Genomic DNA, 23,745 nt, shown 5'->3' on the forward strand with positions numbered 1-23,745 from the left:
AGGGCCGGATTGCCACGGCACCTCCCGCGGCCGCGCAGTGTGGTTCAGCCCGGACTCCGCGGGGCGAGCTGCCCTTCCTCCCCCGACCCCCGCGCAAGTGGTGCATTGGCGCGCGGCGCCGAGGGGCGGGGCCCGAGCCGGGCGCGCGCGGGCGCTGCTCTATAAATACCGGGCCGCACCGCCCGCTGCTTCGTTCGCTCCGCGCCGCCCGCCTGCTACGAGTAGAACGCTGTCCGCAGCTTGCGCATTTCGCAGCCGCTGCCGCCTCGCCGCTGCTCCTTCGTAAGGCCACTTCCGCACACCGACACCAACATGAACGGACAGCTCAACGGCTTCCACGAGGCGTTCATCGAGGAGGGCACATTCCTTTTCACCTCAGAGTCGGTCGGGGAAGGCCACCCAGGTGAGGGGACGGCCTGAAGCGAAGCGTGGGGCGGGGCAGAAGGCAGCGCCAAGGTCCGGCTGGCTGCGGCCGGCCGGTGGTGGGGCCCGCGCGGGTCGTCCTCGTCCGCCGGGTGATGGAAGAGCGGCGACCGCGCGCTTTCCTCGTGGCGCCGCCAGGGCCTGGCGCGTGGCCGCCGCTCCTCTTCCCCCTCCCCTCTCCACCCTTCCCTTCCCCCCTCCCTTTTCATTCGGTCGCGCGCCTAGGCATGCGGAAGGTTCCAGAAAACGTGAAGGGCGGGGGCTGTGGTCGCTAGTGAGTTCTGGCCGGGAAGGGAGGGCACTGTTAACCCCTCCCGGCCCTGCCGTCTGACAAACCTGGAGTGGGCGACCCGCCCCGCGTGCTCGCGTCCGGCCCTCGGGAGCGCGCGCCCCGCATTGCAGCGGCGACCACGTGTTTGCCGCATGTGGTATCTGGGCGAGGGGGAGCCGTGAGCCTCCCCGGCTGTCCTGGCCCTCAGTTTGAGGGGTGGGGGGCCTATGCCTTGGGACGTCGTCTGGCTCCACTGCCTCAGTGGTTAGGTCTTGACTACACACTGGAGAATACGCACATGCCCTTCGGCGGATATGGCCTTGCCTCCAAGGTGACGGCCTCTGACTAAATATAGCTCATGTCCAAGAAGGCAGTCCTTATTTGGACCCCTTGTGAAAAGGATGGGAAGCATGAATTAGGAGCTGCCATTGCTTTGGGTTCGCATTTAAAGTCTTCGGTGCAGGGTTTTACTTGAGGCTTTGTCCGCTCAACCGCCATTATGGGGATCAATTGGCACGTGAAGGAGGAGTAAAGCTATATTTCCAGGAACTGAAAATCTCAGCCTGAGCATATCGGCTAGTAAAGATGATTATTTGGCTCTTTTGGCTGTTTCTGCCCTTAGGATGACCGCAGTAGTTATCTATCTGGTGGCTTTAGGGTCTGGTCAGTTTACTGTGCCCATGATGAAATCCCACAAGTAACTTAGTGGTATGAGAGGACAAACCCAGGATCTTGATGAGTGCTGAAGGTTAGCTGTTACACCAGTTAGTAGTAGACCGAAGTTCAGAGCCTGCAGTCTGGCTTCCACATTATGTTTGGATTCTGTTTTAGGCGGTTATAGAAAATTCAGAAAAACGAACTTGAATTAGGGAGATATTTGTTCTCCCTCCTAACAATAGATGACAAAGCAGGGAGACATGGATTCGGAATACGTTTGAGCATCTTCTACACTGTTGAGCTTTTGTTTCCTGCGCAACTCCTAACAGCAAAATCAGATAATTGCCATTTTAGTCAGAAAATGCTTTTCATTTAATTGTTTAATCGAATTATCTTGTTGCTCATTATAATTGGTGTTCCTTAAGATTAGGGAAACTGGCCTACCTGTGGCCTCAGTTCTACCAGACTCCCAGGTGCAGAGGGGTTTGGTACAGTTGTGGAAGTGAATATGATATAGGGCAAATTCTGTTCTTTAAAGGATATAGGACTAACAGTTCACCTTTCTGGTGATTAGATTTATAATGCAAACTTTGAATTTTAGGAGGAAAGTGCAAACACAATGAATTAAGATGTATTAAGCATGTTTTTTAAAATCTCCAAAGATTTTACAGATAGTAACAGGGAGGGAGCTTGCATACATACATACATACTTTGTTTAAAGTTAAAGAAACTGAGCCAGGAATTTCTCTTTTCCAGATAAGATTTGTGACCAAATCAGTGATGCTGTCCTTGATGCCCACCTTCAGCAGGATCCTGATGCCAAAGTAGCTTGTGGTAGGTTCAGAATGTGCTTATCAACTGGTGGAAAGATAGCATAAAAATTATTTTTATAGAAGTGATGTTTGAGTTGAATGTCTCTTTTTATTAGAAACTGTTGCTAAAACTGGAATGATCCTTCTTGCTGGGGAAATTACATCCAGAGCTGCTGTTGACTACCAGAAAGTGGTTCGTGAAGCTGTTAAACACATTGGATATGATGATTCTTCCAAAGGTGTGTTTTAATGATTTTGCTCATTTTTTTCTAGGTAACAGCTGTGAGGTTTGAAGAAACTCCTAGAATGTTCCTGCTAATCCTAAACTCCAGTTGTATCTTACTATACACTAAGCCCTATTCTGTTCATTCTCTAAAAGGTCCGATGGTTTAGGTATATTTGATTTCTTCAGCAGTGTTTAGAATTCCAGATAATTGCTGTAAACAGCAGGTATTTCTAGGACGTAAACAAGATGTTGTGTTTTTTGCTTATAGGTTTTGACTACAAGACTTGTAACGTGCTGGTAGCCTTGGAGCAACAGTCACCAGATATTGCTCAAGGTGTTCATCTTGACAGAAATGAAGAAGACATTGGTGCTGGAGACCAGGTATCTTGGTGTAGAGGCTGTTTTAATCTCTTCTAACATTAAATTCTGGAGCTTGATCACATTGGTGACTTTTCTTTCTTTAGGGCTTAATGTTTGGCTATGCCACTGATGAAACTGAGGAGTGTATGCCTTTAACCATTGTCTTGGCACACAAGCTAAATGCCAAACTGGCAGAACTACGCCGTAATGGCACTTTGCCTTGGTTACGCCCTGATTCTAAAACTCAAGTAAGTGATGATCATAAAGCTTGGTTGTCTCATTTATTACATCAGCACAGAAGATCCATAATTTTGATAATAGCTAACTGGAAAAAATAGCATTTGTTTTCCTATATTGTAACTTCAGGTAGAGAAACAAATACAAAGTTATTGTTTGGTGTGATGTTCTGATGACCTGTGTTGCCTTCAAGGTTACTGTGCAGTATATGCAGGATCGAGGTGCTGTGCTTCCCATCAGAGTCCACACAATTGTTATATCTGTTCAGCATGATGAAGAGGTTTGTCTTGATGAAATGAGGGATGCCCTAAAGGAGAAAGTCATCAAAGCAGTTGTGCCTGCGAAATACCTTGATGAGGATACAATCTACCACCTACAGCCAAGTGGCAGATTTGTTATTGGTGGGCCTCAGGTAATGTCATTTTGTTGCATTTTTCTGGATTTTTGATGGTTACTTAAAATTTTGGCTACTACATTTTTTTCAGGCTTTCTGAAACCTACATGTGAATCATCGGAGGATATTTGCTGAATGAATTCAGAATAGGCAACCTAATCCACTTGGAAAGCACTAGGCGTAAAGTAACTTAAATCCTGTAATTTCAGGGTGATGCTGGTTTGACTGGACGCAAAATCATTGTGGACACTTATGGCGGTTGGGGTGCTCATGGAGGAGGTGCCTTTTCAGGAAAGGATTATACCAAGGTCGACCGTTCAGCTGCTTATGCTGCTCGTTGGGTGGCAAAATCCCTTGTTAAAGGAGGTCTGTGCCGGAGGGTTCTTGTTCAGGTATACACTCTTTATATAACGAACGATTAAAAGTCATGTAAGTGGGAGGGTATTTAGTAGTAATCTACTTAACTACTTGTTTTATACCAACGTATTATACAAGTATATGGGTCTTTGCAATCACTGATTCTTACGACATTTGAATCCTTTTAGGTCTCTTATGCTATTGGAGTTTCTCATCCATTATCTATCTCCATTTTCCATTATGGTACCTCTCAGAAGAGTGAGAGAGAGCTATTAGAGATTGTGAAGAAGAATTTCGATCTCCGCCCTGGGGTCATTGTCAGGTAAAGATGGTAAAGCCTGTTGCTAGTCAAGTATTGAGGGTGTTGGGTGTGTGTGTATATACTTAAGGCTGAGGAGGTGAAGGTGTGAAGGAAGACTCCTCAAATGGGAATATATTTTAATTCCTGGAACAGTTTTGAACTGCTGCCTTAGTGAAGACTTAGTTATTTGAGAAATTTAAAATTACGGTGCTCCATGGCTTAGGCTAACCACTCTAGAGAATGTTCCAGATTTGATATTTGAGCTTTGTGCTCTTCTACTTAAGGGTGTTAAGAAAATAGAGATAAAGTGGGTTGCTCAAGGTTTGTTGCAATGTAAAAACCATGGTAGGGTGTGGGCGGCGGGACCTTGGTAAGTATTGTGTGATCTCAGGTGAGCTTTTTGACAATTGAAATTTCTCAGAATAATGACAAGTTTTCGTATTTGTTGAGCCAGGGACGGAAAAACAACTATAGTTACTAATAAGGACTGTGCAAGGAGTTTGGACACCAGGGAAGTAACACTTTTGCCACAAATTTTTTTCCTAGCATATCCCAGAGAACTCATTTGCCAGAGCTCTTGAAAATGAGTCTTGCTGATTGTTTTGCTTTATTTTAATTTAATGCTACATATTAAGTTACGGACTTGTATATTCCAGGGATCTGGATCTGAAGAAGCCAATTTATCAGAGGACTGCAGCCTATGGCCACTTTGGTAGGGACAGCTTCCCATGGGAAGTGCCCAAAAAGCTTAAATATTGAAAGTGTTAGCCTTTTTTCCCCAGACTTGTTGGCGTAGGCTACAGAGAAGCCTTCAAGCTCTGAGGGAAAGGGCCCTCCTTCCTAAATTTTCCTGTCCTCTTTCAGCTCCTGACCAGTTGCAGTCACTCTAGTCAATGACATGAATTTTAGCTTTTGTGGGGGACTGTAAGTTGGGCTTGCTATTCTGTCCCTAGGTGTTTTGTTCACCATTATAATGAATTTAGTGAGCATAGGTGATCCATGTAACTGCCTAGAAACAACACTGTAGTAAATAATGCTTTGAAATTGAACCTTTGTGCCCTATCACCCAACGCTCCAAAGTCATAATTGCATTGACTTTCCCCACCAGATGCTGAAAATGTCCTTGTGATGTGCACGTAAAGTACTTGTAGTTCCACTTATAGCCTCTGTCTGGCAATGCCACAGCCCTGTCAGCATGAATTTGTAATGTCTTGAGCTCTATTATGAATGTGAAGCCTTCCCCTTATCCTCCCTGTAACTTGATCCATTTCTAATTATGTAGCTCTTTGTCAGGGAGTGTTCCCTATCCAATCAATCTTGCATGTAACGCAAGTTCCCAGTTGGAGCTCCAGCCTGACATCAAAAAAGGCAGTTACCATTAAACCATCTCCCTGGTGCTTATGCTCTTAATTGCCACCTCTAACAGCACCAAATCAAAATCTCTCCACTTTCAGCTGTCTTTTGGAGGACGTACGTAATAAGGTTTTAATTTAGTAAACCAATCCTATGCATGGTTTCAGCACTAGCCAAACCTCACCAACTCCTAGTTCTAGAAAAACAGGCACTTGGCAGCCTTGTGATGTCATACAGAGAAGTCACAGGGCAGTACCTGAGGGTCTGTAGGTTGCACACTTTGGTACCAGATAACTTTTTTTTTTCTTTATAAGAAAGCCTGAGTACTCCACACTGCACAATAACTCCTCCCAGGGTTTTAACTTTGTTTTATTTTCAAAACCAGGTCCAATGAGCTTTCTGAACAGCTGGTGTAGCTACAGAGAAACCAGCTTCCTTCAGAGAGCAGTGCTTTTGGCGGGGAGGAGGAAATCCCTTCATACTTGAACGTTTTCTAATTGCTTATTTATTGTATTCTGGGGTATGGCGTAAGTACAGAGAAGCCATCACCTCAGATGGCAGCTTTTAAAAGATTTTTTTTTTTTCTCTCAACACCATGATTCCTTTAACAACATGTTTCCAGCATTCCCAGGTAGGCCAAGGTGTCCTACAGAAAAACCTTGGGTTAGACCTACAGGGGGTCTGGCTGGTGTTAACAGAAGGGAGGGCAGAGCTGGTGCGGCTGGCCATGGAGAAAGCTGACTTGGCTGGTGTGGTACAGAGAAGCCAGCTTGTTTACATGCTTATTCCATGACTGCTTGCCCTAAGCAGAAAGTGCCTTTCAGGATCTATTTTTGGAGGTTTATTACGTATGTCTGGTTCTCAATTCCAACAGTTTAATGAAGATCTAAATAAAATGCTAGGTTCTACCTTAACTGTGTCTGTTACTCATTTGTTAAAGTGCTTTGGGGCCATAGGTACGTGCCTATAATCCCAACACTTTGAAAGGCTGAGGTAGGAGGATCACTTTAACATAGAAGTTGGAGGCTGTAGCGAACCATTATCAAGCCACTGCACTCCAGCCTGGGTGACTGAGACTTTGGCTCTTAAAAAATGCTATCATATGAATAACCTGAGAATACTATATGTGTATCTTTAACCTTGAATTGTAATCCATAATTAGCCATAATTCAGGAAAATAACCTCAATCCCTAGACCCAGTGGGTGGGCATTTTTTAAAAGCCTAAGCAAGATTTAGTCCTCCTAGTCCACTTAAGCCAAAATTCATGTGTCCTTATTGCAGCAGCCATTCAATGCCATTTTTAAGTTTTCAACTAAGGTTGAGGGCTTCAAACCATTGAAGGCATAAAAACCGCTAAAAGTATTAACCTGGAAGTGGTAATGTCTATCTAAAGTCCTGGCAATTTAAGCCTATTAATCTGCATACATTTTTAAATTATGAGCTTAGTTTTAAGGGTTGTATGATGTTTTCATCTGAGAAGTTCTGAAACGTGATTTCTAGTCAATATCTTGCAGAGATAAATAATGCAAATTAGCTGAAAATGCTATAAATTTCCAAAGGCTTAAATTTCATTTATGGCAGGTTGTGTAGAAAATCCGCAGACCACACTGCTCTTGAACCTAGGAGCTACATGCATAGAGAATAGCCACTTGGATTACATTTCTACCAACATCTGAATGGTGGTCCAGCTTGTCCTGCAAATGTAGAGCCAAGGAGTGCTTGCTTATGCCTGTTTGCATGGAGACTTAAAAACTTGGAAATTTGGAGGCCAGGCGGAGTGGCCTGTAATATAGGCCACTATATAGTAATATAGGCGTGAGCCTATAATCCTAGCACTTTGGGAGGCCAAGGCATGCAGATCACGAGACCATCCTGGCTAACACAGTGAAACCCTGTCTCTACTAAAAATATAAAAAAGTTAGCCAGGCACCTGTAGTCCCAGCTACTCAGGAGGCCGAGGCAGGAGAATGGCGTGAACCCGGGAGGTGGAGCTTGCAGTGAGCTGAAATCGTGCCACCACACTCCGGCCAGGGTAACAGAGTGAGACTTAAAAAAAAAGCCGTGGAAATCTGGGTATGGTAGCTTACACCTGTAATCCCAGCACTTTGGGAGGCTAATGCGGGTGGATCACCTGAGGTCACGGTTTGATACCAGCCTGGCAAACTGAAACCCCGTCTCTACCAAAAATACAAAAAAGCTGGGTGTGGTGGCAGGTGCTTGTAATCCCAGCTACTCAGGAGGCTGGAGAATCACTTGAACCCAGGAGGCAGAGGTTGCAGTGAGCCGAGATGGCGCCATTGCACTCCAGCCTGGGCCAGAGCAAGGTTCCTTCTCAAAAAACTTGGAAATCTGTTGGGAAGTAGGGGGAGGGCAAGGTTAAAACCTATGCAGGTGTGTCAATTAGACTTGTTCCAACTTGAGAACCTGAATTTTGCATGTAATTGAAATGTTCCAGAACAAGTCTGGCAGTTTCATAAGGGAGTTTTTAGATGCCAATACATTGCAGATAACCATATTGGCTACATTAGGGGAATGAGCATGGATAGGTGCCTCCAAGTTGGTAGAATAGCATGAGAAGTTTTCAAAAGTAACCGCTTTAAGGTTATGTTCAGTATTTGCTAAGTAAACAAAGATTCCCCAACCTTGAGGGAGCTTGTGGACCAAGGGGATAGTGTTGTCCTGCCCAGCCTAGGGGAAAAGTATCCTGAAGGTTAATAAGGTGGTGGAGGAACATTAGGCCACAGGGAGCAGAGGGAAAGCATAACAGCAGGGGATGATAAGGGTGATTATAGTTTAGAAAGCATGAAAGTATGACTTAAGGAAATGTCTTTAGGTTGAACATTCTGTATATAACCTGCCTTTCTAAAGTTTCAAAGGGGATGGATACCCATCAGGGGCAAAGATCCAAATCCTGAGGGTAGAATGAGGAGGATGTATACTAAAGTCTTTTGGCTAAAAGGACATTGATAGCCCATTTTTAGAATGGCTACAGTTGCAACCCAACTCTACCCCACTGAACAGCTTTTATTACCAGTATTTACATGACCACTTTTTCTTTACACCTCACCCTACCCCAATATCTTCCTTGGGAAAATTGGTCAGAGAGGTGGTATACTAACAGTTTGGGGAAGGGCAGCATCCTTGCCCATATTTAGAAAAATACTTTTTCAAGTGTCTTCTCCCAAGTAACTCTTGGGACTTTTGTTACCAGTCAAGTAGGTACAGTGAGTTTGGCAAACAACATAGTGGCAAAGTATCTTCTATTGTGTTACTATGAGAGAAGATCTGCAAAAGGATTGAAAATCAGCATCCCTCCCACCCATTCTTACAAAGTAATCAGGGGACCCTGTGCCACAGCCATTGCTTGCCCATATAATACCTTGAATGAATTAGAGATTTTCCACCAAACTCCATTTGGCCTCCTCAGTGGTGGGGGAGGGTGGCAATCTGCTTGACAACTAACATGTCGGCCCTGTCCTGGTCTATCCCTAACTAGATGCTAATACAAAGGTTGAAAATACAGATATAGGTAGTAATGAAAACAGATTTGGCTGGGCACGGTGGCTCACACCTGTAATCCCAGCCCTTTGGGAGGCCAAGGCAGGTGGATACTTAAGGTCATGAGTTTGAGACCAGCCTGGCCAATGTGGGAAACCATGTCTCTACTAAAAATACAAAAATTAGTTGGGCGTGGTGGTGGGCACCTGTAGTCCCAGCTACATGGGAGGCTGAAGTGGAAGAATCGTTTAAACCCAGGAGGTGGTGGCTGCAGTAAGCCAAGATTGTGCCACTGAACTCCAGCCTGGGTGATAGAGTGAAACCCTGTCTTTAAAAAAAAATAGATTCAAGAGGTATCCAGGAGGTAAAATTGATGGGACTTGGCAATTTTAAGAAATGCAAGGAAAAAGGAAGAGTCAAGGCTGATGACCTAGAGATAACAGCTTGGCTAAGGTACAGAGCTGCCATTCAATAATAAAGAATAAGGAAGTCTGAGTTGGGGATGAATGTAAGTTCTGTTTAGGATGAACTGAGCTTGATAGCCCTGTGGGATATCCAGGTGGAACTTAGACCTATACGTCTAGGGCACAGGAAAGAAACCTAGCATCGTTGGAAATCCTGGAGTAGACACAATCATCTGAAGTATGTATACTGAAAAAGCAGTTGCTTAGGAAAGAACCCCCGGAACACTGTCCAAGGAGGAGTGGGGGAGAGTATGGGAAGAGAAGCCTGCAAAGAGATGCAATCATTTACAGAAGTTACTGAGACTGCCAATTTACTACCGGTCTCTGCTACAAGTCCATGAGCTCCCAAAGCAGGGATCCTTTTTCATAACCCTGCATTCTCGCTTCCTAGCTCAGTGCCAACCCTTTGAATTTTCACTGAACTGAGGAGCTTCCTGAGTTACCCTTGTATACCCCAACCTACAAAATGTCTAAGCATTCCCTAATCCCTTACTAAATTTAGTTAATTCTTACTTTACCTCCCCTTCTGCTCACCAAAGGCTAGAATAATACCAAATACTAAGCTTATTTTTAGAGAAAATCTAGCAATCATCTAGATTTCCTTATTTAACTTTGATGCTGCTATTCTGACTGCTCTCATAACTGCTAGTGAAACACTGGGTGTATATAGATAATAGGAACAAAGAAGGAACCAAAATTGCAATGAAGATAAATTACTTTGTGTGCATTTACAACCTGACCACCATCCAATTATACTTTTAATTAAGAAAACATGTTTTAAGCTGCATTATTTCAGATTATCAGTGATTCTGAAAATTACAAGTGGCAGGGTGCAGGACCTTAAGTCAAATAGACGTTAAGTTCAAACCATCAGTCCATTCGTCACTAGCTGTATGTCTTCGGGCAAATTATTTTACCTCTCAGCCTAATGTAATAATGCAGGTAACACTGCTCACGCGGTGTGTTGCACATAGCAAACACTTGGGAACAGTTAGCTATTCATCGTGGTACATTAAATTGCTTTTCCCCAAGAGCCACTTTATTTATTTATTTTGAGACGAAGTCTTGCTCTGTTGCCCAGGAGTGCAGTGGCTCGATCTCGGCTCACTGCAACCTCCACCTCCTGGGCCCAAGCGATTCTCATGCCTCAGCCTCCTGGGTAGTTGGATTACAGGCACCCACCACCACGTCTGGCTAATTTTTGTATTTTTAGTAGAGAAGGGGTTTTGCCATGTTGGCCAGGCTGGTCTCGAACTCCTGGCCTCAAGTGATCTGCCCACCTCAGCCTCCCAAAATGCTGGGATTACAGGCGTGAGCCACGGCACCCAGCCCCCAAAAAGCCACTTTAAACCTTATCCTAGGAGGACAGTTTCACATTGCGTCTAACCTCTTCCTGGCCTCTTAATCTTGGGTTGTTAAATCTTATTTGCTTTATTTCCTTGGTTCCTCTAAGTTGTAATCTCGGAGTTAAAAACAGCTTTAGAACCCCGCCCCCCCAAAAAAAAAAAAAAAACTTTTGAGAATTTTTTTCAAATAAATGTCCATTGCATAGAATGGGTCTGTGACTGGCTGCTTCTACATCTGCACCCAACATCTGGCCCCCTTCAGAACTCTGAGTGGACAGGATCAGGATTTGACTCAGGAGGATTAGAATGTGAAGAATCCGTGTTTGAGGGATTCAGTTCTCCAACTGCCTCAAAGGGTCTCAAGTTTGCATAAGTCACCTCCTGGGCCAGCTGCTCCAGGGAAGGACGGCCTAATATCAGATTTCGAAGTGAGATACAAGTCATCAGGAAGCTGAAAAACAGGAAAAAGCCGACCAAGTTCAAACTCCTGTTTCACCAGAAGAATTTCAGCTAAAGCCCTTAGAAGGCACCTGGTCCTCACTCCTCCCACACAGGCATATATGGGAATCTCCCCCCAAGTGACCCTCCATCTCCCAGCTGGAAGGGTACACCACTCTTTATACAGTCTGGTAGAGGATTCCAGGATAGGGTAGGAACAGCCCACAGAGAGGCTGGAGATAAGCTGAGGCAGAACAAGAAAGCAGGCCATCAGATATAGGCCACTTATTCTTCCAGTAAATCAAGAAGAATGGCAGGAAAAGATACCTAGAGCTAAACTGTCCTTTCCTGTATGACAGTCTCTAGAGTTACTCTCCCCAGGGGAAAGTTACCAAGCTTGCCAACATATGATGGCAATGACAAATATTGTTGTGAACTTACCTGCGGCGAAAGACATAGAGCTTTCGCAACAAGAAGCGGAAGAATCGCTCATGGAAAGGAGTATTTCGCCGGCGTTCAATCTCCTGGAGCCTTTGTTGGCGTCTAAGAAAGGTCTGAACCAGAGGTGTTGGCTCAGGGCCCCCTTTTACTTCCCCTTCCAACAGAGGCTGCAGCTCTGGGGGTAGAGGCCCTGTTTCTGCCCGGAAGACAGAAAAAAGAGGAATCACTGAGATGGATCACTCTCTCCCCTTAGAACTCCTCTTCTGCCAGCTAGAGACTTCAAGTTCATTCTTGAATGGCTAGAACATCATTCATAACCCTGACTTCTTGAAACCAGAGGCTATCTCAGCCCAAATGTTCATACACTCACCACTTCCATTCTCCACCTTTTCCTTTAATTCTTGCAGATATGCCAGGTCTTGCTCCAGTGCAAGCTCTGTAGTGTTGACATAGACGTACATGTAGCAAGAAGGGCTAGGTGATGTCGTATACACCTTATGGTACTCACCAGCAGGCAACTGACAAGGGAGAAGAAATGGATAAATTTCATCAGCTTTTCTCTAGCCAGCTTATGGCCTCCCTACTCTATGACTCTTGGCTTCTTTCTACTCAATTGTGTTTTGGAATCGAAAGTAACGGACCTCTAGAATCCTGGATGAGGCTCTTCACAGTCCCAGGGGCCCTTGTTTTTTGAGCTCCACTGCATTACTGCTATGGTAAAATATTTTCAGTCTATAATAAGTGAATCTTGCTCATCTAAGCTTTCTGCCATTGTTTTTTAAATTGTTAGAGATGGGGTCTCACTCTGTTGCTCAGGCTCACTGTGAATTCCTGGCTTCCCACCTCAGCCTCCTAAGAAGCTGGGATTACTGGTGTGAGCTACTGCACTCAGTTCTTTCTGCTGTTGTTAATCCCAGCAAAATACCTGCATTTTTTCTCCCTCTCGAAGAGTCTGGTTCTTCTGTTCTGCCACAAGCTCCACAGTCACTTCCCCCTGCAGCAGCTGGATGCTAGTGTTGCCCAGGTCTTCACTCACAAAATTCTCCAAGTGCAGTCCTGCCAGACCAACAGAGTTCATCATCCCACCCCATGGCAGAGTGAACTCACTCCCAGCCAGAACAGAGACATCACACCTTTACCACCATCATCCCCTTAGGTTTCAAAAACATTCCCTCTCCCCTCCCACCACATGGAATGTCCCTGGCCAAGGAAGCCAGAAGGAAAGACAGAAAAGCCTCTCCTCACTTTCCTCCATACCAGGGAAATCTGCAATGAAGACCACCTCAGTGTGGTTGTCTAGGCTGCTCTTGATTTCCTGTAACTTGGCCCTCCAGGGAGACAGGTCCATCAAGAGTGGTTGCACCCAGGATGTGCGCTGAAAGGGTGACCAAGCGGCCTGCACGATGTCCACACGAGGGTCAAAAATCCTTAGGAAAGAAAACCATGTTCTAAGGACATCACAGCCACCCACCCACCAGAACTTCCAGTTCTCTCCCTTTCATCATCATTCCTAAGGACAGGGAATAGAAGAAGAAATGGCCTGTGTCAGCATGTTATTGCCAGTCCAGGGCAGAGAAAGAAGGCAGAAGAGATCTGGAGCACTGGGTATAATGGGGGTTAGTAGCTACCTGAGAAGGTATTATGTCAACAGTGTCTAAAAGAACAAGTCAACTCACTTTTCTCCTGGATGATGGTGCCCCCTGCTGGAAGCAACCAGCTATGCCCACAACCAGATCAAGGGGGACATGCACTAGAGGAAGGACAGCTTTTTAAGCAAGACAATACCAGGAAGCAAGGGCTGTTCATCTTGGTAAAAAGAACTGTGCTTCATTTTTTCCCACTCTCTGCTCCCCTTGCCCACCTCTGCTGGAAGCGGTCATTGATGGAGACCCAAATATCAAAGTAGATCTGGGGCTCAGTGACATTATACTTGGGAAGCAGGCGGCTCAGGCAAGTGGCATATTGCTTCAGCATGTCTGCATGATCCTTCCATCGCCGACTCTGTGTAAATACCTGCCCCAAACCCCCATATTAGTCCCACCTCATCATTATCAACTTCCAAGACATGTCATGCACTGCCAATGGCACAACGAGATCCCTGCCTGCTGCCCATTCTGGCTAGAAAAAAATGGAACTTGCCTTTGGGAATGAATTTTTCATTGTTGGGCTAGTGGTGCTTACTTTTCCTGAATCTAATCTCAGTTCAAGGAAATGAATGCATTGCCCTATCTCAACCCACATAAAAGATAGTTCAATCTGGCTCTTGAGAAAAGGCAAAGCAGACTCAAATTTGTTTTGCTTTATGGTGTGTGTAAGACAAAACCAGACCCCAAAGCACAAGGGGGCTCTGAAGAACAGTAAATTGTCAGCATCAGACATCTCACCCCAGGGTTAAGGTAGCCCAGTTCGCCAGTGCGGCCATCACGGTAGGTGATCTTCACGTGCTGGTGGGAGCGGGAGTGCACCATCATGTCCCAGGAATAGCCATACAGCCCATTTGTCCAGTTGTTATAGCCCTGGGAAGGCAGCACAGAGGGGAATCAGCTCAATGCTTCTCACACTGACCCCATCCCCTACCAAGAAGGGGCTGCAAAACCAGCCCCATTCTTTCCCAACTATTGTCATCCGTTCCTTTCTAAGTCCAGCCTTTGCTGTACACTCCACAGCCCCTACAAACCTGGGTGAGAAAATGAGAATAGGGCAGGAATAGCTGCTCCAGGAGGTAGAGCAGGGTGAAGGCAGCTCCCAGCTGATGGCGCAGCCCTGGCTTCTGGCCACTTTTGCCCCGGCTCCTCTTATACACACAGGAAACACTGGGCTGAGGGGCTGCCTTGAGGGGCAACAGTTGTTGCAACCTTCGGGGGCAGTAGGACACCAGCTTCCGAGGCCACTCAGGGGAGCAGAAGAGAGGGCTGCTGGCCAGCATGACGTAGGAGAACATACCTAGGAAAGCAGGGAGAAAATACATATTTCAGGAGTTTGGCTGGGCCTCTTCAACCCCGTTCCCTTAGGAGACTTCTCCCAGGTGTTCCACTGAAAAGGAAAGTAGTTCTTCTTTTTTTTTTGAGACAGTCTTTCTCTGTCGCCCAGGCTGGAGTGCAGTGGCGTGATCTCAGCTCACTGCAACCTCTGCCTCCTGGGTTCAAGCGATTCTCTTGCCTCAGCCTCCCAAGTAGCTGGAATTACAGGCATGCGCCACCATGCTCAGCTAAGTTTTTGTATTTTTAGTAGAGACGGGGTTTCACCATGTTGGTCAGGCCGGTCTCGAACTCCTGACCTCAGGTGATCCACCCACCTCGGCCTCCCAAAGTGCTAGGATTACAAACCTGAGCCACCAAGCCCGGCCACAAAGTAGTTCTTAACTGTAAGATATTTGTTCTTCCTGGAGATTCCCTACTGTACAACATACTAACTGAGCCCAGAAGCCCCAGTCCTCTTATCCCCATTTATGCCTACTTCATAGTGACTGCCCTGGGTTCAATTTAGCTCCTGCTCACACCACCCTCTCCCACTCCCAAACAATGCCTCTGGCTAGTCCCTTCCTGCAAAACTGTGGTTCCTGTTTCCTCCCAGGCTACAGGTACTGACCAATGCTGAAAAGCTGGGAATTCATGCAGTGGAAGTAGGACACAAAGAACAGGCCAATGGATCTTGAGACATCAAAAAAGAGCAGGAAACCAGCTGAGAGGTCAAGCAGCAGCCCACCCCAGTGCACGACCAGCAGGCTAGTCAGCTCCTCAGACAACAGCAGTCTGCAAACACATGGAGAAAGTTCAAGCACCAGCCCACTGGAGAACACATCAAAGCACATTCACAGCACGAATGTGCCTTGGCTACTCCAGTGGCTGGGTAGATGCCTAAGGTACATAATCCACCCATGAAGACACTCCTCTAGGTTGTTTGTTGTTGTTGTTGTTGTTGTTGTTGTTGAAACGAAGTTTCACTCTGTCGCCTAGGCTGGAAGGCAATGGCATGATCATGGTGCACTGTAGCCTCAAACTCCTGGGCTCAAGCAATCCTCCTGTCTCAGCCTCCGAAGTAGCTGGAACCACAGGCACGTGCCACCACGCCTAGCTGTTTTTTTAAAAAATTTTTTTGTAGAGACAGTGTCTTATATTGCTCAGGCTGGTCTTGAACTCCTGGGCTCAAGCAATCCTCCCACCCCAGCATCCCAAAGTGCCGGGATTACAGGCATGAGCCACCATGCCCAGCCCCCTCTACATTTTCACACACTTTAGGTGTTCAATGTTTTCTAACATATCCTATGTAATAAGCAAGGGCAGATCTCCTAGGACAAAATTTGACTGAGATGTGTGTGTGTTGTGGAAGGGACGTTCCCCACGGAGGTCATGAGTGAGAGGACACTTTAAAAGGTGAATGCTTGGCTAACATCATAATGAAGTCAAACTTCAGGAACTGGAAAATAACAGGGAAGAAGAAAGAGAATAAAGTAAAACAAGAGGAAAGAAGAAATGGGAAGAAGACAAATCAGAAAGGTGACCCTTTGTTTTGTGGAAGTGATAATAATGGTTTTGTCAGAGCCTGAACAGTGAGTGCCCATCTTCTCAGTACATCAGCTGCAGGGCTCTGATGGGAGGCTAGAGTGGCAAGGCAAGGACACAGGCACCATCCAAGGCAGCTGCTGAGGGCACTGGCTCACTCACCAAGTCAGCCAGTTCCGGCTCTTTCCTTTCCTTTTTAAATTTCTTTTCCTTTCTTGCCTATCTATACCATATATCTCCCAAGAGCAGCTAGGGCTCAATCTTTTGATACCACTGACTCTGCTTCTGCTGAATAGGGAAATGAGTGGACAAAGGAAGGCATGTGGCAAATTCAGGCAAAGTAGGAACAGGTGCCATTACTGAGAGAGATGAGTCACCTGCTCTGTACCCATGCCTCAAAGAGGCCTCCACCATGACTGCCACTCACTTGAAGGGACTGAAGAGCCAGTGCCGGGACAAATATTCCATGGAATAGCCTTCAACCCAGTCTGCATCCAGCTTTTTCACACCCGCAATGAAGTACACAATGAAGATCTGAAAATAAAATGTGACACAAAGTTCAAGCAAAAAGAATCTTTTCTACAGATAGGCAAGAATAAAATAAGGAGCATATAGTTAGGACAACTTGAATCCATGCTCCTGAGTTACAGTCCTTGACCCAAATATTACAGTCCTTGACCCAAATAATCTACTTATATATATTTTTTAAATGAATAAAATAAATACTGATCTGAGTCCAGGGCCCAAGGAAGAATAGACCCCATCTTCTATTCATTCATCTCAGAAATTCGCCTCATCCAAACAGCATTTATTGACATCCAACCAATGTCAGCGACAGTATCAGGCACCAAGGAAGAAGTCATAAAGCACAGACTGAATCCTTTCTCTTTGTCATGAGGATTCCAATCTAGCAGGGACAAAGCTCTAGTCTTTCCTTGACAAATAAGATAATTCAGAGATTAAGGGATTGGAAAAAATGAGAAGCCAGCCTAGCTTTCCAGCAAAGGGTAAAAACTAAAAACAGAAGATCCAGGGAGGCAGCGGAGAGTGTAGTCTGGCAGTGGGATGGCCATGCTGACCACATGGCTGTCAAGGAGCTCCTCCCTCTGTCCTAAAATGCTGTACCTGGCCACGGAGCACTGCATAGTTCCAAAGGGGCACGTGGGCATTCCTCCTATGGGCATTCAGCAGACCGTCCACAGACCTACACCGAGGGAGGTAAACATTGAGGGGGGAGCTGCTTAATGCAGCTACATCTCCATCCTTCCTTTTATACACGATAATCCTATCTATCCTGGGCACATCTCCCATATCCTCCCTGGTTATTCTGAGACCTTTTAGAATTATATGAGCAAATTCTAACATGATTATACAAGTCATAGAAGAAATATTGCTACTAAGTTATAACAGCAAAAAGTTCAGTATTTCTTGTTAGCTCCCAGTTGAGTTTGTTCTAATGGATCAAATCAGGAAAAAAGGACTACAATACTAGAAAATTACTGAAAAAGGGGAGGAATTTGATGGAGTGTTTGAAAAGCTATGTATGTGTAAATAAATATGCGGTGTATTATCTTTAAAAAAAAATGAAAACCCTCAACAGCAGAGTAACACACAACATAAACTAACATTTCATAGACCTGGGTGCCAGGATCCAGTATAAGAGGGTTCCTGCTAACAGCTTGTATTCTGGAAGAGAACTGATTAGACCCAGGCTACTAACACCAGATGTACTCTGGGGAAGCAGAAGCAAAGCAAGTTTTCAAGAAGTAGAAGCTGGGAAAGGGGCAGCTTACACTGTGGTCAAGAGCACTGGACTCTGCAGTCATGAACACCTGGACTCACTTCTGTTTCTTAACTGCTAGCTGACCTTAGGCAAATTCTTCACTCGTCAATAATACTTAGCTTCTTTATCTTTAAAATGTGAACAGGCCAGGCTCAGTAGTTCATACCTATAATACCAACATTTTGGGAAGCTAAAGCGAGAGAATCTCTGGAGCCCAGGAGTTTGAGGTTGCAGTGAGCTATGACTGCACCACTGCATTCTGGCCTCAGTGACAGAGCAAGACCCTGACTCCAAAAAACATAAAATGTGAACAGCACCATCGACCTTACAGGGTTTTAATGAGGAAAAACTCTAAATATTTAGTATAGTGCCTGCGATGTGGAAAACCCTGAATAAATGATAAGTGATTTTTTCAAAATGCATAAAGTCATAAAAATGGAACTTCTGACTAGCCTGAGCAACATAGTGAGATCCCATCTCTACAAAAAATTTTAAAAATTAGCTGAGTGTGGTGGCACACACCTGTTGTTCCAGCTACTCAGGAGGCTGAGATGGAAGGATCACCTAAACACAAGAAGGTTGAGGCTGCAGTGAGCTATGATCACGCCACTGCACTCTAGCCTGGGCGACACAGTGAGATGCCATCTCAACAAATATCCCCACAACGGAACTTTTCAGAGATATTCTATCAAAACTGCCTCTTAATTCTCTATGATCAGAGCTGGCCATTCTGAATGAGTTTCAAGTTTTACCAAAGGGGTTTTGTATGTGTGTATTAACAAATAGGCCGGACACAGTGGCTCATGCCTGTAATCCCAGCACTTTGGGAGGCCGAGGTGGGAGGACTGCTTGAGCCCAGAAGTTCAAGACCAGCCTGGGCAACAAAGCGAGACCCCATCTCTATTTAAAAATAAATAAATAAAAAGAAAAATAAATAAAACTTAATGACTGTTAATGAATTCAATGTTTGAGTTTTTTTCCCCATACTCATGTTATTGACACCTATTTTATTACTTTTCACTCAACATATAAAGAATCCTTAAGGTCAACTGCCCCACCACCTTATCTCCAAATCCCTTCTCCACCTCCCCTTAGAGACAGTCACCTAAGCCAGAAATGGGGAAGGGTTACCTCCTCCGAGAACAGCAATGCTGAGCAGCCCTGGTGGGCCCTCTTCTCCTGACATGATCTCTGCCTCACAGCAACTTCTACTTTTGGCTCTAACTCTGCCCTTCTGGACTCACACAGAGAAAGTCTGCTCCCTCTTCTACATAACCACCCTTAAAGTATCTGAAAACAGCCATGTCTGGCTTTAGTATTCTGTTTTTCTCTCTAAGAGGGTTACAAGAGGTGAATAAATCAAGGCACCTGGGGAGATAGGGAAAGACTGAAGGGGTGGGATGGAGCCATTTTGCTTTGTGTCATCCCAAGCGCTCCAACTAGTTGGCCCTTTCCCCTCCCAAATCCACCTAGATCAAAGTGACCTTGTAACCATACTTTGCAAACATGACTGAAAAATTCCAGAACCTCACTGGGCCCCTATCTCTGATAACCATCCTGACCCAGCCAACCCCTCCCCTTTGTCCCCCCTGACTCATACCAGTAGTGGTTTGCATCCATGAATGTTAGCTGAAAGGCCAACAACCCATACAGATAGGAGTGGTTGTTCCATGATGTCTTGTCCAGGAGAAACACATACCAGTATGGCAGCAGGAATAACACACAGCTTATCCGGTAGCACAGGCCCAGCATCATGCCCAGTGCCCCTGGGATTTGTAGGGAGAGGATTAAGAGGTCAAGAGATCACCACAGGCCCAGTTTCCCTGGACCAGGATATGGTTGGAATTAAGAAAAATCAAGCATTGTATAATCACATAAAACTAAATGAAAATTAAATGTTATTTTAATATTTTAAAAAGAATTATGGGATCACAGCTTAAGTGACACACAGGTCAACAGCATGAAATTGATCACAGCAGAAGTGAAATAAGGTGCCAAAGACTTTGACCATTCACCAGCATGCTTCTATTTCTGTGTTTCTGGCAGGCCAGTCAATATTTCCCACAGTTCCCCTCACCCAGAAACATGATGGTGTAGACAAGATACATCCAGTCAAGTGGCAGTGGGCGTAGGGCATCCAGCAAGGGGAAGCGGCACACATCCAGCCCATCAAGGTATTTCCGGTCCAGAGAGCTGAGCCCCCGCTCCTGGGGAATGTCTAGCACCATCAAGAACCCTAAGAAGGCAATAGGGGAGTTGGTCATTGGGCCTCAGCTAAGGAAGCAGTAGAATACAGTGGAACACAGTTGACAGTGTGCAGCTCCAGGGTCAGACTTCTTTTCTAATCTTGGCTCTGCCATTTATTCAGTATTAATTATTGAGTGCCTACTCTGCACAGTACTACATCTGTTGTGCCATCTAGAACAGCCCCTGCAGCTCGGTTAACCAATTCCCCATTTGTGAGAAGGGGAATACATCACAGGACTACAGAGAGGATTAAATTACAGAAATGCACAAAATGCTATAAAAACTGTTAGGGTCTTGACAGCTATAAAGATCCATCCTATTGAGCTTCAGAAAGTGCTCTGGGAGGCCAGGCACGGTGGCTCACGCCTGTAATCCCAGCACTTTAGGAGGCTGAGGTGGGCAGATCACCTGAGGTTGGGAGTTCGAAACCAGCCTGACCAACATGGAAAAACCCCGTCTCTACTTAAAATACAAAAAAATTAGCCAGGTGTGGTGGCGCATGCCTGTAATCCCAGCTACTCGGGAAGCTGAAGCAGGAGAATCACTTGAACCTGGGAGGCGGAGGTTGCAGTGAGCCGAGATCACACCATTGCACTCCAGCCTGGGCAACAAGATCGAAACTCCGTCTCAAAAAAAGAAAGAAAGAAAGAAAGAAAGTGCTCTGGGAGTGCTTCTCAACCTTTTCTGCTTCCTGGCACACTCCAAAAACAGTTGCATTTCGTCAACACCCTGGGAATAAACAGAAGAGGCTACTCAGATCAGGAAGCCAGCTTGAGATAAAGCAGGGTTTCTCAACTTCAGGACTAGTCACATTTTGGGCTGGTTAATTATTTATTGAGGGGATTATCCAATGCACTACAGGACATTTAGGAGCACTCCCTGACCTCTATAGAGATGCCAGCAGCCACCTATTCTTCCTCCCCCAAGTTGTGACAACTAAAAATGTCTCTAAACATTGCCAAATGTCTCCCAGGGAGCAAAACTCCCTCCAGTTGAGAACTACTGGGCTAAGGGGACTAATATCTCTGCACATCTGTAAACCATTCCAAGCACACCATGCTGCGGCCTCAGTTAAGAAGCTCTTGATTAGGGAGTCACAGCCAAAAGGTATGGTCCCTGTGGCCCCCTGCTCTGTTTCTCTGAGTCTTCTGGGCAACTTCATGCCACAAGCAAAATGGGTCACTGCTGCCTCGCCTCTACATATCATATAGCATTTCTAGCTGGGTACGGTGGCTCACACCTGTAATCCCAGCACTTTGGGAGGCCGAGGCAGGCGGATCACCTGAGGTCAGGAGTTTGAGACCAGCCTGGCCAACATGGTGAAACCCCGTCTCTACTAAAAACACACATACAAAAAAAATAAAAAATTAGCCGGGTGTGGTGGTGGGCGCCTGTAATCCCAGCTACTCGGGAGACTGAGGGAGGAGAATCGCTTTAACCCGGGTGGCGGAGGTTACAGTGAGCCGAGATAGCGCCATTGCACTCCAGCTTGGGCAACAAGAGCGAAAGTCCGTCTAAGGAAAAAAAAAAAAGCATTTCTGGCCACCAAGTAAATCCTAACTGTAGGAGACAAAGCAGGTTTAATCCTAAACTTCGCAAAGACCTCTTCTTTTATACCAATGTCTTCAGCTCTGAGGAAAAGGGAGCTAAGTCTACTTGCAACCAAAAAATAGAGATTGTCATTCTCCACTCTCAACCAAATTGCTCCCACCCATAAACTGGACTCACCAAAAAGAAAACGAAAGACAGCTAAGCTTGCAGGGTCCGTTGGTCGATTCAGCAGGGTCACCAGCCTCCGCCAACTGGACAAATCTGTCCACTCAAAACCCAAGAGTTTCCCTATTCGGCTGTCCTGCCTGGGCCCTGAGATCAGTTCAGCCTTGTCTTTCTGTACTTTATCTGCAATCAATAAATGGAGAAAATATGTGTGCGGGGGTGGGCTCCACCTCAAATCAAAGAAATCACTGCACCAACAGCTCAGAGCTTCCGCCCACCCGGGTCGGCTCAATGAGGTTGCCTCAATGATCTGACTATAGGAAACATCCCTGCAGTGCAGCCCCCTCTCCACGATCCCCTAATGTCCCAGAACCCCTCAGACTACAGTCCCCTAACCGCAGTGTTCCCGAATGTCATCATCATTCAGAAGCCGCAGGCTGCAAATGTCTCACAGCACGCCCCCTTCCCCACAGAGGACCCCCCCCCCGCCTCACCGGGAGACACTGGGCGTCCTCCCGCCCCCGCCCCTCTGAGACCAGCGCTCCTAGGAACTCTCCGCCGGAGGGCGGGGTCCTAAGCCTACCTGAGCTGGGCGAGGTCCGCGCGGACCCGGCAGACACCGCCATTGCTCTGCGGAGGAGGCAGGTGGGTCACAGCTGCCGCGTCTGAACGGAGGCCGCCAGGAGAATTTGCTTCCCTAGGCTCCGCCTCCCGACGCGTCAGCGGCTGTGCGGCCGGCCGCAAAGCGCCAGCACTGTCGTAAATACTACCCACGACCGGCGGCGCCGGATTCCTTGCTTGGCGGCAGGGGGCGGAACAAGGAGCCTTGGAGCGGGGCAAAGGTACCCCTTAGTGCCGTTGATCTCCAGGGGCATTGTTAGACTCGCCTGTTATGCCTTCCGAGGGGGCCTCTGCTTTTTAAACACTGAAAAGAGTCTGAGTTCCCCAACTTCCTTGGGTCCTCCCCGACCCCATTAGTCCTCTCCGTCCCTGCGTCCCTGCGGTGCTCTCTGGTGTGAGGGATCGGGCGCAAAGGGCAAACTTTTTGTCAGAGTGACGCCGAGTTGAGGACGCGCCTGGAAATGTTGCCTGGGTTTTGAGCCATTGCACGACCCCTTCACTTTCTTTTCCAGGACCTGCAAAGAACCGAGGTTTCAAAGCAGTAGGGGCCGGGCACTGCTCTCGCTTGTAATCCCAACAGTTTGGAAGGCCAATGCGGGAGGATCGATAAAGAAAAAAAAAAAAGGCAACAACAAAAAAAGAAAAAACACTAAAAAAAAAGTTAGCTGTGTGTCGTGGCGCGCTCCTGTGGTTTCAGCTACTCGGGAGGCTGAGGTGGGAGGTTCGCTTGAGCCCAGTAGTTCGAGGCTGCAGGGAGCTGTGATCGCACCACTGCACTCCAGCCTGGGGGACACAGTGAGACCCCGTCTCAAAAAAAAAAAAAAAAAAAAACAAGCCGGGTGCGGCAGCAAGCCTGTAATCCCAGCACTTTGAGAGGCCAAGGCGGGCGGATCACTTGAAGTCAGGAGTTAAAGACCAGCCTGGCCAACATGGTGAAACCCCGTCTGTACTAAAAATACAAAAATAATCCGGGCATGGTGGCGTGCGCCTGTAATCCCAGCTACTCGGGAGGCTGAGGCAGGAGAATCGCTTGAACCTAGGAGGCGGAGGTTGCAGTGAGCCAAGATCGCGCTACTGCACTCCAGCCTGGGCGACAGAGTGAGACTCCGTCTCAAAAAACAAAAAACGAAAAAGAAAGAGAAAGAAAAGAAAAGGCGGGAAGAAAAGAAAGAAAGAAAATTAAAAGCAGCCAGGGAAACAGGAACAACATAACTGAAGAGGGGATACAGAGCAAGGGCAGTGAGTAGAGTGTGGCCCATCAGGGAAGGTTCTCAGAGGTGAGTCTGGAGCAGAATTA

The 23,745-nt window shown here is 46.4% G+C and overlaps 2 protein-coding genes across 8 annotated transcripts, besides 3 other annotated features; one reads left to right on the plus strand and one right to left on the minus strand.

The window, feature by feature from the left end:
• Window positions 1-270: a silencer, noted in NCBI's record as "silent region_11701". NCBI's record gives its function as "represses an Ori minimal core promoter by ATAC-STARR-seq in GM12878 lymphoblastoid cells {active_cell/tissue: GM12878}" and the evidence as "EXISTENCE:reporter gene assay evidence [ECO:0000049][PMID:35858748]".
• Window positions 193-6,306, plus strand: MAT2A (methionine adenosyltransferase 2A). Its single transcript, NM_005911.6, has 9 exons — window positions 193-403; window positions 2,108-2,185; window positions 2,280-2,402; window positions 2,658-2,770; window positions 2,854-2,997; window positions 3,180-3,398; window positions 3,590-3,772; window positions 3,926-4,059; window positions 4,695-6,306. The coding sequence occupies exons 1-9, from the start codon at window positions 313-315 to the stop codon at window positions 4,795-4,797; spliced, it is 1,188 nt and encodes a 395-aa protein (NP_005902.1). The 5' UTR covers window positions 193-312; the 3' UTR covers window positions 4,798-6,306.
• Window positions 451-780: a silencer, noted in NCBI's record as "silent region_11702". NCBI's record gives its function as "represses an Ori minimal core promoter by ATAC-STARR-seq in GM12878 lymphoblastoid cells {active_cell/tissue: GM12878}" and the evidence as "EXISTENCE:reporter gene assay evidence [ECO:0000049][PMID:35858748]".
• GGCX (gamma-glutamyl carboxylase) lies at window positions 5,745-22,518 on the minus strand. 7 transcript variants are annotated; one of them, XM_005264259.6, is made up of 15 exons: window positions 22,411-22,518; window positions 21,840-22,010; window positions 19,942-20,100; window positions 19,465-19,630; window positions 17,207-17,285; window positions 16,509-16,615; window positions 15,168-15,331; window positions 14,257-14,522; window positions 13,964-14,095; window positions 13,441-13,592; window positions 12,837-13,006; window positions 12,505-12,635; window positions 11,950-12,097; window positions 11,580-11,769; window positions 5,745-11,151 (listed from the first exon to the last, which is right to left on the minus strand). In XM_005264259.6, exons 1-15 carry the CDS (start codon window positions 22,451-22,453, stop codon window positions 10,959-10,961), a joined length of 2,271 nt encoding a protein of 756 aa, XP_005264316.1. In that variant the 5' UTR covers window positions 22,454-22,518; the 3' UTR covers window positions 5,745-10,958. The 7 variants fall into 7 exon arrangements, with proteins under 7 accessions (XP_005264316.1, NP_000812.2, XP_016859292.1 ...); NM_000821.7 differs by having other exon boundaries at window positions 11,580-11,775; XM_017003803.3 differs by lacking the exon at window positions 21,840-22,010.
• Window positions 22,492-22,721: an enhancer, noted in NCBI's record as "active region_16130". NCBI's record gives its function as "activates an Ori minimal core promoter by ATAC-STARR-seq in GM12878 lymphoblastoid cells {active_cell/tissue: GM12878}" and the evidence as "EXISTENCE:reporter gene assay evidence [ECO:0000049][PMID:35858748]".

This window comes from Homo sapiens, chromosome 2 (genome assembly GCF_000001405.40).
Source record: "Homo sapiens chromosome 2, GRCh38.p14 Primary Assembly".
NCBI lineage: Eukaryota > Metazoa > Chordata > Mammalia > Primates > Hominidae > Homo > Homo sapiens.

Excerpts from the sequence above, each read along its gene's own strand:
- MAT2A (NM_005911.6), top strand. The coding sequence starts at position 313 with ATGAACGGACAGCTCAACGGCTTCCACGAGGCGTTCATCGAGGAGGGC. Across the intron at positions 3,773-3,925 it reads GCCGGAGGGTTCTTGTTCAG|GTCTCTTATGCTATTGGAGT; the intron begins GTATACACTCTT and ends GAATCCTTTTAG. Across the intron at positions 4,060-4,694 it reads CGCCCTGGGGTCATTGTCAG|GGATCTGGATCTGAAGAAGC; the intron begins GTAAAGATGGTA and ends TGTATATTCCAG.
- GGCX (NM_000821.7), bottom strand. The coding sequence starts at position 22,453 with ATGGCGGTGTCTGCCGGGTCCGCGCGGACCTCGCCCAGCTCAG. Across the intron at positions 15,332-16,508 it reads TGGCTCTTCAGTCCCTTCAA|ACTGCTGTTGTCTGAGGAGC; the intron begins GTGAGTGGCAGT and ends ATGTGTTTGCAG. Across the intron at positions 14,096-14,256 it reads ATTCTCATTTTCTCACCCAG|GGCTATAACAACTGGACAAA; the intron begins GTTTGTAGGGGC and ends CTGCCTTCCCAG.